Here is a 13,845-nt window from a genome sequence, read left to right on the forward strand (position 1 = left end):
TTAATTAATTAAAATTGGTTCAAAATTCCTTAATATTTGTCAAAGCATAGGAGATACCAGTAGTAGTTTACTTTTTTCCTCAAAGCAGTTGGCAAAGTGAAACAATAGATTTTGAAAGGCACCTAAGTCATTGACGAGAGTATGTATCTTTGATGTATTTCATTTATGACTGTTTTGTTTGTATCTGAGGAATTATAATCATTCCATTGTCTAGATTTGTGCATAAATTCTGTTTTTCTCTTTGTTTTTCTAACTCTGAGAAGTTTAAATGTTGGGTAGTTCCTTATGTAATGTTTTTTGTTTTTTATTAATAGGATCGAACAGAGGCTGCAAATAGAATAATATGTACTATCAGAAGTAGGAGACCTCAGATGGTCAGAAGTGTTGAGGCACTTTGTGATGCTTATATTATATTAGCAAACTTAGATGCCACTCAGTGGAAGACTCAGAGAAGTATGTTTTTTTTAAAGAAGAAACGTTACTTTCTTGCTGTGTTACTCTCTGTAGAGATATATTAGTTATAGAGCCTAATAAGTAAATCTGCTTAAAATCACAAACGTAATCCAAAAGCTTAATTTATATCTGATGGCTTCAGCATTCCCTGGTTACTTTTTCACTTAATATCTCTTAATAGAACTGGTAATAGGTGACTACACTAAATTAATTATTTGATTTCTTCTGATAATCTTCTGGCATACATACTTATTACAGAGAATTGCATAATAGAGGCAAGTCTATTAAAATAATTGAATAACTGAACATTTCTAGCCTCAAAAGTTTTTTTAAACGATGTGGTTACTAAAACTGCCCTGGGACTTAAAAACAAAAAAAGGCTTTACCATTTCTTCCATAGGTGCTAAAATGCCATTATTTAATTATTATTCTTGCTGTGTCAGTTCAAATAATTACAAGCTGCTATATAATCTTTGGTTTTGTGACTAGTCTCTAAGTATGCTTCTAAGTATCTCCCCATACTTTAATAATTGTATTTTTTTCTATTCAGAATCATATCTTCAAGTTTAAATTCTTATTACTTGAAAACGAATGGGACTTCACATATTGTTTCTCTAAGCAAACAAAAAGTATTGACATGTCTTTTAGTTGCATTTAATGGTAATGTGACAGGAGTATGTTATCTATGTACTATGCAAACTATTACGTAATTATTTTAAGATGTTTAGTCTGGTTCCTCAGGTGGAATCTGGTCTAGTTACCCTTGTCAGGTAACCTGCAAATTTACTTGAAGCTACATTAACCACTGTTGAGCTTTGACTCTGAGCTGCATAGTGGCCAAAGCCCAGAGTCTTCATTTCTCAATCAGAGCCTGAACCACAGATTAGCAACAAGTTGGGGCCAGTGGTATCTGCTGACTATTCCTGCTTGACCTTCAATGCTGTTCCTCAGTTTGTCACTAAAATCTCTTCATTTTTAAATACAGAAGGCATAAATATTCCAGCAGACCAGCCAATTACTAAACTTAAGAATTTAGAAGATGTTGTTGTCCCTACTATGGAAATTAAGGTAATTTGCAATTAACTCTTGATTTTTTTTAAACTAAATTTTTTTTATTAGATTGAACCATTTGAAATAGTATTTTTATGTAGGTCAAAATTGGTTAAATATTGGCAAATTTCATATGTTTCAACCTATAATTTCTCAGTATTATATTTCCTTTGCCCAAGCCCTAAAATACTCAAAAGCTTCTCCTGCTTTCTTTTCCATTGCCTTCTGTTCTACACCTCCCATCTTTCTTATGAAGGTCTATAGACTGTTACTTTCATTGGCCAGAAGGAGAGTTTCCGTGTGCTTATGCCAAGATTAATTTTTGACTTGGCAAGGAAGGTTCCAATTGTCATATATTGTTTTTAAAAATTCTATGTGCAGTAAAATGTATTGGCTGTGATATATCACAGTATTAAGTAATATAGTATGTATTATTATAATATTAAGCTGACTTCATATGCATGATACACTTAGCTCTGTTCTAATATTCTTTTATTGCAAGAAATAATGGAAGTAATTTCATGTGGGCAGGGATATATGTAATAAGGGTTATAAGTTTAGAAAATGATCATCTTAAATACATTGTCTTTCTTTTCATTTTGCAGTTTAGTGCTTAGTATCTAGTTACTTGATTTGAAATGTAGCTGTATCATGTGGATTAACTGCTGTTTTTCTAGCTATATCAGCTAGGTGATTTCGCTGAATGTTTCCTTAAAATGCCAGATTTAGCAGTTATAACCCAGAAAACTCCTTCTACTGTTTTCCAAAATTTACTTTATGTTTTCGTGAGGAGTTATTTCTCAGATGACTTTACATATATTAGTGAATCTTTGATGAAACAGTAGTTAAAGTTACGAGCGTGAGCCACCACACCCGGCCTAAAGTTGTAGTTCTTAACCACTATCACATCGTCATTTGTTTCTCTGTTTAATATTAAAATTGCCATTTATAATGTATTTTTCTTTAAGTGCAAATAGTGTATCTGACCTATTATCAATCATGTTTATACTTTTATTAGGTGGACCACACAGGAGAATATGGAAATCTGGTGACTATACAGTCATTTAAAGCAGAATTTCGCTTAGCAGGAGGTGTAAATTTACCAAAAATAATAGATTGTGTAGGTTCCGATGGCAAGGAGAGGAGACAGCTTGTTAAGGTGAGCCTTCCCTTCTCTGGCTTAGCCCTTAGAGTTTTAGTGATGAAAATTTTTAGTTCATATTTTCTTTCTGCTTTATTTGGGATTTTGTCTTTATTTTGAATACTTACAAATGAGGAAGATTTGTAGAGTAGAAATGCATTATTTTCTAGAACCAGGCTTTTCTCCATTTTTTTTGTGTCTCTGAAAGACAATCATTATTATATGGTTGATTCAAGTAAAAGAATACCATTAACATGTACAGACATGTACAGTGAGGTTGCTTCTTATGAAAAAAAATACTTTGGTGTCTGTCTCTTATTTCCTTGAATAGTGCAAGTTGACGTCCTTTGCATCAGTATACCGGGTCTCGTACTGTGCCAAGTGCTATTTAATGTACCAAAAAGGGAGAGCATTCTTCCCTTACCATTTGCTGACGAGCTCTTTGGGTCCTACTGGGGAGTGGTGGAAAGACACAGTGCTGTTTTACTCAGGTGTTTGCAGTATGCCTTCCTAGGGGGGACTTCCAGTTAATCTAATTACAGAAGTAGCGAGGGGAAACTTTCTAAATCAGTGTAAATGTTGTAGCTTATTCTAAATGAAAGAATGGCAGTAGGTATTTAATTATTTGGGAGACTGTCAAGAGGTGCACAGATGCTCAGATTGGTTTGAGTGCCCTTTGCTATTCTCAGATGACTCTGTGTTTTTATAATAAAATAAACTGTACTTGTTTATTCATGCTTAATTATTCTGAAGGGCCGTGATGACCTGAGACAAGATGCTGTCATGCAACAGGTCTTCCAGATGTGTAATACATTACTGCAGAGAAACACGGAAACTAGGAAGAGGAAATTAACTATCTGTACTTATAAGGTAACTATTTGTACTTCTGTTAGTTCACCAAAAACATATAAAAGATGCCATTTGGTTGGGTGAAGTGGCTCATGCCCATATTCATAATGCTTTGGGAGGCCAAGGTGGGAGGATTGCTTGAGGCCAGGAGTTCGAGACCAGCCTCAGCAACATAGTGAGACCCCATCTTGACAAAAAGTTAAAAAAAAAAAAAAAGCCAGAGATGATGGCATGTGCTTGTAGTCCCTTAGCTACATGGGAGGCTGAGGTGGGAGGATCACTTGAGTCCAGGAGTTTGAGGCTGCAGTGAGCTCAAACTCTGCAGTGAGCCCCAGTCCAGCCTGAGCAACACAGCAAGATCCCGTTTAAAAAAGAAGAAGAAGAAGAAGATGCCATTATTTGGACCAGGAGTCTACAAATGTTTTCTGTGAAGGACCAAATAATAAAGATTTATTTTCTTTGTAAAAAGTATTTATTAATGTTAATTATAGTTAGGTGTTTCTTATAGTCAACTGAAGTATTTTTTCCTTTTTTTTCTACTCAACAATATGTCACAGAAATCTTTCTCATTTTTTAACAGCTGCATTGTGTGTATGTATGTAGTTTTTTATACAAGTCCTTATCGATGGGCATTTGTGTTGTTTTCAGTCTTTTGCTGCTACAAACAACGCTGTATTGTAGTGAATAACCTTGAACATACAAATTTCATACATGCGCAGGCAAATTTGTAGCATGGATTTCCAAAAGTTGGATTGCTGGGTTAGAGGATACATGCATCTGTAATCTGGTACATATTGCCAAATTACTCTCAATGGGAGTGTACCCACTTACATTTCCTCTAGCTATTTGCCTGAGAAGACAATCCTCAGTCACATTCTATGAGCTGATCATCTTTGACTCTTATATTAATTATTCATTTAACCAGTTTAGAAATAACAATAAATCCTTATTTTGAAGGGCCTATTTTCCATAGGTTTGTCTTTTGTGATTTCATTCCTGTACCTCATTTTTAAACTTTCTCCTTCTATAAATGTTGTAACAGGGACTATGGGTGACATGTGCTTTTTTATATATTTCTAGTTTTCCACTATGAACGTGTTTTATTTTTAAAATAATGGCTAAATTAAAAGCCCTAAATAGGGGAGTGAAGAAGAATAAATTAGATCTACCCTCCAAAATGCTGCTTGAGTTAGGCTATTGTAATAAAAAGCAGAACTTGGTTTTGAGCTTCTTAACTGCTTTCAGAGACTAAATATAAAACTTATTGGTTGGGAGAGGGGCATACTGTTCATTAAGGAAAGCACAATTTTTTCCGTAGCCTTCAAGTTTGTGAGAAATTTGTGACATGGAACCTTCTGCAATAATAACTAACATAATAGATGTTTTCCATTAGCAGTTTAAAAAGCTAATTAATCCTCGATGAATGCAAAAAGCAAAAGTTGCTCTATAAAGGCTACTCTGTAGAGGGATTTCTTTGATGTGGTTAAGATCATTGGTACTCAAGCTTTAGCAGACATCATAGTCACTTAGAGAGTTTGTTAAAAACACAGATTTCTGATCCCCATTCTTAGAATTTCTAATTCAGCAAGATTAGGGTAGAACCTGTGAATGTGCGTTTCTAGCAAGATACCAGTTATGTTGATGCTGCACTGGTCCAGGGACAACACTTTGAGACCCACCAGTCTACTTGTTCTACCATCTATTGACCTGACTTCATTTTAGAACAAAGTTGATGATCTATTAGCTATCTCCTATCTGACAGATAATGTAGAGATTGCTAAGAAGTTTTTAGAGACTAGATATTCTGTAATGTGAATGAAAGGAAATTGTTTATGCTCTAAATACCAAACTTTTAGATGACAAAGATAATAGGTGAAGAATTGGGTTACAAAAGTATGGGCTATAGGAGCACCTCCTGAACTCTCAGAAAGTAGCTAAGATTTCCAAGCAGATACACAATTGAACCTCCAAAGTTCATTGCTGTAAAGCACAAAAAAGCAAATGCCTGACCTAGAATATCTTGAAAGCAGAAATTACTGAACTTTCATCTCTACCTTATGACTTTTTCAACAGCTAGTTTTCACACAAAACTATTTTACCATATAAGTTATTCCATTAAGATTTCTAGCCGGGCATGGTGGCCCACGCCTGTAATCCCAGTACTTCAGGAGGCCGAGGTGGGCGGATCACTTGAGGCCAGGAGTTTGAGACCAGCCTGGCCAACATGGCCAAACCCCATCTCTACTAAAAATACAAAAAAATTAGCCAGGCGTGGTGGCACATGCCTCTAGTCTCAGCTACTTGGGAGGCTGAGGTGAGAGAATCACTTAAACCCGGATGGCAGAGGTTGCAGTTGAGCCGAGATCACACCACTGCACTCCAGCCTGGGTGACAGACCGAGACTTCTTCTCAAAAAAGGAAAAATGTCTAGAGGCCAGATGCAGTGGCTCATGCCTGTAATCTCAGCACTTTGAGAGGCCAAGGCAGGAGGATCACTTGAGGCCAGGAGTTTGAAACCAACCTGGGCAACACAGCAAGACCTCATCTCTACAAAAAATTAAAAATTTAGCCAGGCATGATGGCATGCACCTATAGTCCCAGCTACTCAAGAAGCTAAAGCGTGAGGATTGCTTGAAATCAGGAGTTTGGGGCTGTGCATGAGCTGTGATCATGCCACTGCAGTCCAGTCTGGACAACAGAGCAAGAACTTGTCTTAAAAAAAAAAAAGTGGGGTTGGGGGGTAACCCAGATAATTAATTATTTAATGTTATACATCTCAATATTAAAGTAAAACCTGTAAACACAACAGTTTAGGTTTGACTATTTCTTAGAATTACGACAATAAGCCAGTAATGTTATTTTGAGATTACTCCAAGAATGTGAAAGTTGTGTCATCATTATGTTAAACTAAGTGTTCTTGCCTTTAGTTAAGGTTCCCTAGACTACAGCGAAGTAGTCTACCCAGTCCAGTCATCTGTAGAGTCATTCCCAATCCTGAGATTCAGGTCTTCTGTGGTCATTGTGTCAACAAGAGCATACATTGACTACCTGGAACTAGATCTTGGTATACAAACCTTGTGTCATTGTGCAACCTCAAAAGGAGAGACTTGTATATTGAGGCATGCCAGATATCTCTTGTCAGAGAGAATCAGATGGAAATGAAGACAGTTCTTATTGTGTATGTTGATAGCTCAGACATAGCCCTTAACATTAACCAGAATTAGGGTGGCTGGCCCCATTTTTCTCCACCAAAACTATGCATTGTTACAAAGTATACTGAACAAGTCTAAAATCTTAGGTGTCAGAGGATTTGTTTTCTAAAAGGCAAGTCTCTAATAAACAATATTTAAGTGCTGAAAGGAGCTTTGCACTTAACCTGATCATCCTGCCTTGTGCCAATAAATAATTTTTATTCCTTGTCATGCATATTTCAGAGCATCTATCTCAGTCATGGTTCTGGGGAGAGAAGCCATAATATCTTAAGACATTCACTGAATATAATGAATTAACTTCATTTCTGTGTATCTAGGATGATATCAGCTGTGTACTTTCAGAGAACTGAGAAAATAGTCATCAGTCCTTTTTTGTGGTATTCACACAAAATACCCAGATACCCAGTTGAAATCTTCCAGAGAGTCTTTAGTACCAGAGAAAACACTGTCATTTGCTTTTTGAAATTCAAATTCAGCTCTTTCTCCAACAACCAACATCACAGTTGAGACTCTAAGCTGAGGTAGAAAAAAGCCAACCCATTCCTTTCTGTATCAATCTCTCAACAAAAAATAAGGGTTTGATTCCCCCTCCCCGCCCCAGAGCTAGATATTGATAGAGAGTAATCAATGTAAAAGAGACTTTAGACAGAGTACACTACACTGCAAGAATGTTAATGTGATCAAGCATCAGGGGTCACAGCTAACTCAAAGACAGCAGGGGAGAGGGCATGTAGAATACTTATTAGGCAGGAAGGGAAATCAGAAAGGCCATGAGATCATTCATTTGTTTATTCAATAAATGTGAATTTATATACCTACGTTGGGTTAGATACTCTACTGAGTGCTAGGTCTATAGAAGTAGTAAAACATTGCCCTAGTCCTTAAGGTGTTCACATTCTAATAGGGAAAATAAACATAATAAACATAATTATAATGCAAAGTGTATTGTTAGAGATGGTACCACCTTCACTTGGTTGCTCAGACTGAAACCTAGAGGCTTTATTTTCTTTTTACTTTTATTATTATGGAAAATTTCAAACATACAAAAGGAGACAATAACATCATGAACCCCCTTGTACTTGTCACTCAGTTTCAGCAGTTACCAACTCATGGACAATTTTGTTCCATTTCTCTTTCCACCAACTTCCTTCCAATATTATTTTAAAGCAAGATGTCATATCATTTCATCTGTAAACATTTCAGTGTGTAGATCTGTAAGATAATGTCTGTTTTAAAAAACCATTCTCACAATACTGTCATCACTCCTAAAACAATTCACAAAAATTCCTAAATGTCACCAAGTAATGGGAGTCATTTTAAACTCTTGTTTCTCTCTTCTCAAGTCTTGTCTATTCCATCAGCAAGTCCTATTGGTCAACTTCCAGGCAGGTCACTTTACCACCCCTGCTATTACCACCCTACTTCTGCAGTCACATCTCTGTAGATACTAGAGTTTAAACCAACAGTTTACTTCTGCTCTTGGTTTTCCAAAGCTAGTTTTATTAATAACTGTTAGAGTGATCCTTTTAAAATTGTCTAAGACAGAGTACTCTTATTCGGTATCTGTGGGGGATTGTTTCCAGAGCCCCCTGTGGATACTAAAATCAAGTCCCTTATATACAGTGGTGTATGAAGCATTTGCCTATAACCTATGAACCTCCTCCCATGTACTGTAAATCATCTCTGGGTTACTTAAAATACCTTATATAGTGTAAATGCTGTGTAAATAGTTGTACTGTATTGGTTTTTAAAATTTTTATTTTTTATTGTATTGTTTTTATTGAGGTTTTTTTGGTGAATATTTTTGATCCACAGTTGGTTGAATCTGCAGCTGCAGAGGGCCAGCTGTATTCCATTTTCCTGTTCAGAACCCCACATGAGTTCACATTATCCCTGAATGACAATTCTCTAAGTTAAGTGATCTGCCTCTGCTGTTCTCCCTCCAGCCTTATCTACCACTCTCCTCACACTCCTCTCACTTTCTGCTTGTATAGATGAGTCATCTCCACCTGACTTACCTGGTCTTTTGCAATTGCTTAGACACACCAATTTGTTTCTGCCTCAGGGCTTTTCTGCTTCTGCCTGCAATGCTTTTCCCTCAGATCTTCACACCAGTCACTCCCTTACTTCATTCAGGCTTCTGCTGCAGTGTTACCCTCAGAAAGGCCTCCGACCATGTTGCCATTACCCACTTTCTCTCTTTTTTAAACTTAAGTTTTGTTCTCTTATACTTATTATCTAATATTATGAAATGTTTATTAGGATATATGTTCCTCACCAGAATGAAACTTTATGAGGGCATAGTCTTCATCTGCCTTTTTCCCACTCTGTTCTCAGTGCCCTAGCCCTGTGTGTAACATGTAATACGCCCCCAACAAATAAATGTTAATAAATTAATCAAATGCTTCCTTAAGACACAAAACAGTTCAACATATGTGAGAAACTTAAAATTTAAAAATGTATAGAACTAAAGACACCATAAGGACGAGTGACCAGCTGAGAAAACGAATATAATAATGTTAATTAGAACAAAAAGGATCATTTTAATATAAAGAACAAGGGATTTATATGAAGAATACAATGATATTCAACTTTTCTAGTAATCTGGAAAATACAAATTAAAACCACAGTGAAATACTATTACCCTCAGATTAGCAAAATATAAAAAGCCTGACAATATTAAGTATTGCGAAAGTTATGGAATAACTCTACTGGTGGGTATATAAATCGGTACAGTCACTTTGAATAGTTATTTGGCAATATCTGGTTAACCGAGGTGAAGATGTATCTCTGGCTCAGCTGTTAAATTCCTGGGTATATACCCTAGAGCAGACTTGTCCAACCCACAGCCTGCAGGCCACATGCAGCCTACAGGATGGCTTTGAGTGCAGCCCAACACAAATTTGTAAACTTTCTTAACATTATGAGATTTTTTTTGCAGTTTTTTTTTCTTTTTTAGCTCATCAGCAATCATTAGTGTTAGTGTATTTTATGTGTGGCCCAAGGCAATTCTTCCAGTGTGGCCCAGGGAATCCAAAAGATTGGACACCCCTGCCTAGAGAAACTGAAATATGTTCACGAGTAGTTTATTTCATTGCAGCAGTATTTCATGGAAATGTGGAAACAATGTAAATGTTAATATGCAGATTGGATAACTGTTGTATTTATGTAGTATATAGCTGTTAAAATGAATGATGTAGAGTTAAATATGCTCACATAGTTAGGATAAAATAGTATTGAATAAAAAACCAAATTACAGAAATATACATATAGTATCCTAATTTTTTTACTTAATACTTACAACTATTTGTGTACATATAGCTTTGAAATAAAAATATACCAAAAAATACAAGAACATGATAAACCAGCTAACAGTCATCTTGATGGTGGGAGGGACTTAGGGTCAGTGAAGCACACAAGGGGGAGCTTCATCTCTTCCCCAGCAAATGTGAGAAAATCCTAGATTTGATAAAGCTGTTTAATGGATAAAAGGGTATCTGTTAATATCATTTTCTATACTTTATGTATGTTTATAATATAATTTTAAAAAACTTTCCTAGTAAAGTTGCTTATTTTATATTTAGGAGTACATTTTCTCTCTGTGAAGATAATAAGACTAAAGCAAGAGTACATGTAATTTCAATAATGAAGTTACACTAAAATTGAGACCACATTCATGGGTAATAATTTCCAAGTGAAACTCCCCAAATTTAATTGATACTAAAATTTTAAGGAAAGCAGTTAATTCCTCTCCTAACTGGACAAACTAAGTATGGATTAATGACAGATGACGGTGAGTATAGTTAACAGGAGTGACCTCTCAGAGAATCGTGGGGATTGAGTGATGGGCAGGCTCTCAAACATCTAGGCAGCAGGCTGGAAAATTATATTCTTTGAGCTTAAGTTTATTTCCGATTGGTTTCCTCCAAGGAGCTTTGTCTTCTATGGACAGAGAAATATTAATACAACTTGAAAAAAAATGCTTTGCACTGACTCTGATAGCTGAATGATCATCAAATGCTCTTTAATGGCCTTTTAAAATTAAAAGGTATTTAATCTGTAACTCCAGGTGGTTCCCCTCTCTCAGCGAAGTGGTGTTCTTGAATGGTGCACAGGAACTGTCCCCATTGGTGAATTTCTTGTTAACAATGAAGATGGTGCTCATAAAAGATACAGGCCAAATGATTTCAGTGCCTTTCAGTGCCAAAAGAAAATGATGGTGAGTGACACCCAAAATTAAAGGTTATTGTAAGATTATTTAATGGCTTATTAAAGCTGACAGCTGTCAGATATTATAGAATACAAAAAAACTTTAATTTCATCAGGTAATTGTCAAAGATACTAAGTAAAAGAAAAACTCATCAGAATGAAAGTGTGTGAGTGAAAAAGGAAGGATTTTAAACTACATAATATGTCAACCCTTGTCAGATAAGAAATGTAAAGGTTATTCAATGTGTGCTGATTTGTTTTCAATTTGGGATAAACTAATTCTTAGCAAACAAAACACTAAAATGCCAGGCACGATGGCATGCACCTGTAATCCCAGCTACTTGAGAGGCTGAGTCTGGGGGATCCCTTGAACCCAGGATTTTGAGGCCAGCCTGGGCAACAGAGCAAGACCCCATCTCTAAAAAACAAACACAGTAAACAACAACAACAACAAGATTATGAAGTAATTTTTTATGAAACTGATATAGAAAACCTTCTGAGACATTTACAATGTCACATTGGCCATCTAGTCTGATATTCATTCGCTGAATCAGCAACATTTATTGTATGTTTTCTGTCTACCAGGTACTGTGCTGACTTAAGACTTCACAAATATCAAATATTACGACTAATCATCATAATCCTTATCCTCATTTTAAAATGAGAAGTTCAGAGAACTTGCCCAAGGCCAGTGAGCTAATAAACAGAGCAAGGATTTGAGCCTTGTCTAAATCCAAAATCCATTTATTGTTCATTTTATTGTGCTTTCTGTGACATGTTTTTTAAAATGTGTGATAAGTGCTATAGGTGTTGTGATGGAAGTCTGTACAGGGCACACAGGGTACAGTGTAGGTATGGAGGAGGAAGTGCTTAGTTCTGCCTGGGGTGGGGAGAATAGACAGAAGTAGATCCAAGAAATGCTTCACAGAGGAAAAGGTGTGTGAGCCGAGTTTTGTAAATGAGTTGTTTTTCCAGGCAGAAGGAGCATATAAGCAAAGGAGAGGAGACATGAGCAGGAAAAGACAACATAAGCATAGGCTTAGTGTTTGAGGAAGAAAAGATGAGATTGGAGCAGTAATTGTTGGTCAAAAGATGGAGTGTTGCTTTATGAAATGCAAAGGAGTTTGCACCTTATGCTATAGGCCTCATAAGACCCTAAAGGATAGTAATATCAGACTTGCATTTTAGAAAGAAATTCCGACGGCACTGTGGGTTCTATTTTTGAGAATGCAAACTGGAGGCATGAGATGGTCTGAACTGAGATGAACAGCAGTAGGAAGGGAGAATCGTGGGTAGAGATGAGAAATATGAAGGAGGCAGAATTCATAGGATTTGATTGCTGATTAAAAATAAGGTTGGGGGGCGGGTGTGGTAGCGCATGCCTGTAATCCCAGCACTTAAGGATACCAAGGCAGGAGGATTGCTTGAGCCCAGGAGTTTAAGACCAGCCTGGGAAACATAGTGAGACCACATCTCTACAAAAAATAAAAAGTCAGCCAGGTAATGGTGGCACATGCCTGTAATCCCAGCTACTCAAGAGGCTGAGGTGAGAGGATTGCTTGAGCCCAGGGGCCAAAATTGCAGTGAGCTGTGATCACACCCCTGCACTCCAGTCCAGGTGACAGAGACCCTGTCACCCTGTCTCCAAAAAAAAAAAATGTTGGAGAAAAGGAGTAGCCAGTGCCTCCCAGTTTTCTGTTTGGGGCAGCTGGGTAGATGGTGAAGCTCTTTACTGCATTGAAGAATAGAAGAGGTGACTAAAGTTTGCCAGAGATGAAGTATTTGAATTTGGAAGTGATCCAAGTGAAGATGCTGAATGGGCAGCTTGAGAAGCACATTAAGCTAAAGCTTAATAAAGATATCTGGGCCAAACAGATTTAGAAATCATCAGCACATAGATGGAAGGGAGTTGAAGTCGGTAAGCTTTGCTTCAGGTAGTATTTTATGGCAAGAAGATGTTGGAGGATAGAGATCTGAGTCATATCAGCTGCCATCTATGAGGGATTCTTCTGTTCTTTCTCTTTTCCTGTTTTCTATTGCAACCCAATGCTGTGATGCCACCTGAGGTTATCTGGAACTACTTAGGCATTTCTGTGTTTATTTCTGCTTAAGAGTACAGGATTATTCAAATTAGAATTTAATCAAAACAAGTAACAGTCACTGTAGGTGTGCTTCCTCCCCCAACAATTAATATGGAAATCCTAAAGGGATTATCACTTGTAATTAATTGCTTCCCTGTCCAGACTGTTAGCTTCTTGTAGGTAATGTATCCTGTTCATCTTTATTGCCCCTATATCTGTCATATTTTTATATAAAAATGTGTATATTAGTTTAATTGAACACAATATTGAAAAATAATTATATATATTCTCTATTTAAAGGAGGTGCAAAAAAAGTCTTTTGAAGAGAAATATGAAGTCTTCATGGATGTTTGCCAAAATTTTCAACCAGTTTTCCGTTACTTCTGCATGGAAAAATTCTTGGATCCAGCTATTTGGTTTGAGAAGCGATTGGCTTATACGCGCAGTGTAGCTACTTCTTCTATTGGTAATCTTCTTGTACATATAGTAGATTGAGCACTTTGTTGTTTGGCAGGTTTTATTTTTGTTTGATTCAGCACTTTTTCTACATTCTGAGTTGCAGGGGGATGATAGTGATGATGTGGTTAGTAACCAACCCATCTTCATTATTAAATCATATGTTTCTTGTTCATCCTGATTCTTAGTGTCTACCTTTTTATAACTTATGCAGAAGAGAATTCTCCTACTTCAATAAATAATAAAAAGACAGGGTTTTCTTCTTTGTTTTATAGTGAATATGGCATATTTTCTCTCCTCTCAATATATTATTTTCTGAGACTTTCTTTGGAAAATAATGAAACCTGTGATAACTTATTTCCTTTAATTATTTTTGTTCTTTTGCATATAACCT

At 36.4% G+C, this 13,845-nt stretch overlaps 2 protein-coding genes across 34 annotated transcripts in view, besides 1 other annotated feature; one reads left to right on the forward strand and one right to left on the reverse strand.

Annotated features, from left to right (window-relative positions):
- Window positions 1-13,845, forward strand: part of ATM (ATM serine/threonine kinase) — a 146,036-nt gene that overhangs the window by 109,381 nt on the left and 22,810 nt on the right. For all 15 annotated transcript variants that reach the window (XM_011542840.4, XM_047426977.1, XM_006718843.5 and 12 more), the window contains 6 exons: window positions 315-453; window positions 1,439-1,521; window positions 2,522-2,662; window positions 3,398-3,514; window positions 10,775-10,924; window positions 13,296-13,461. In XM_011542840.4, the coding sequence (XP_011541142.1) occupies window positions 315-453; window positions 1,439-1,521; window positions 2,522-2,662; window positions 3,398-3,514; window positions 10,775-10,924; window positions 13,296-13,461 (796 nt within the window). The remainder of the gene's footprint in view (window positions 1-314; window positions 454-1,438; window positions 1,522-2,521; window positions 2,663-3,397; window positions 3,515-10,774; window positions 10,925-13,295; window positions 13,462-13,845) is intronic.
- C11orf65 (chromosome 11 open reading frame 65) overlaps window positions 1-13,845 on the reverse strand; it is a 161,363-nt gene that overhangs the window by 23,929 nt on the left and 123,589 nt on the right. For 11 of the 19 annotated variants that reach the window (NR_147053.3, XM_047426461.1, XM_047426467.1 and 8 more), the window contains one exon: window positions 2,773-2,845. The exons of 3 other annotated variants lie outside the window; for them this stretch is intronic. Coding sequence is in view for 15 of the 16 variants with exons in the window: in XM_047426461.1 (XP_047282417.1) it covers window positions 2,773-2,845 (73 nt within the window). In the remaining variant the exon portion in view is untranslated. Of the gene's footprint in view, window positions 1-2,772; window positions 2,846-7,707; window positions 7,918-13,845 lie in introns of those variants that run through there. 5 more of the 19 variants (XM_047426476.1, XM_047426477.1, XM_011542643.3 and 2 more) reach the window with 1 other exon arrangement.
- Window positions 6,482-6,682: a silencer, noted in NCBI's record as "peak1451 fragment used in MPRA reporter construct". NCBI's record gives its function as "represses an SCP1 promoter by STARR-seq MPRAs in K562 erythroleukemia cells {active_cell/tissue: K562}" and the evidence as "EXISTENCE:reporter gene assay evidence [ECO:0000049][PMID:32103011]".

Source organism: Homo sapiens, chromosome 11, assembly GCF_000001405.40.
Source record: "Homo sapiens chromosome 11, GRCh38.p14 Primary Assembly".
NCBI classification, from domain to species: domain Eukaryota; kingdom Metazoa; phylum Chordata; class Mammalia; order Primates; family Hominidae; genus Homo; species Homo sapiens.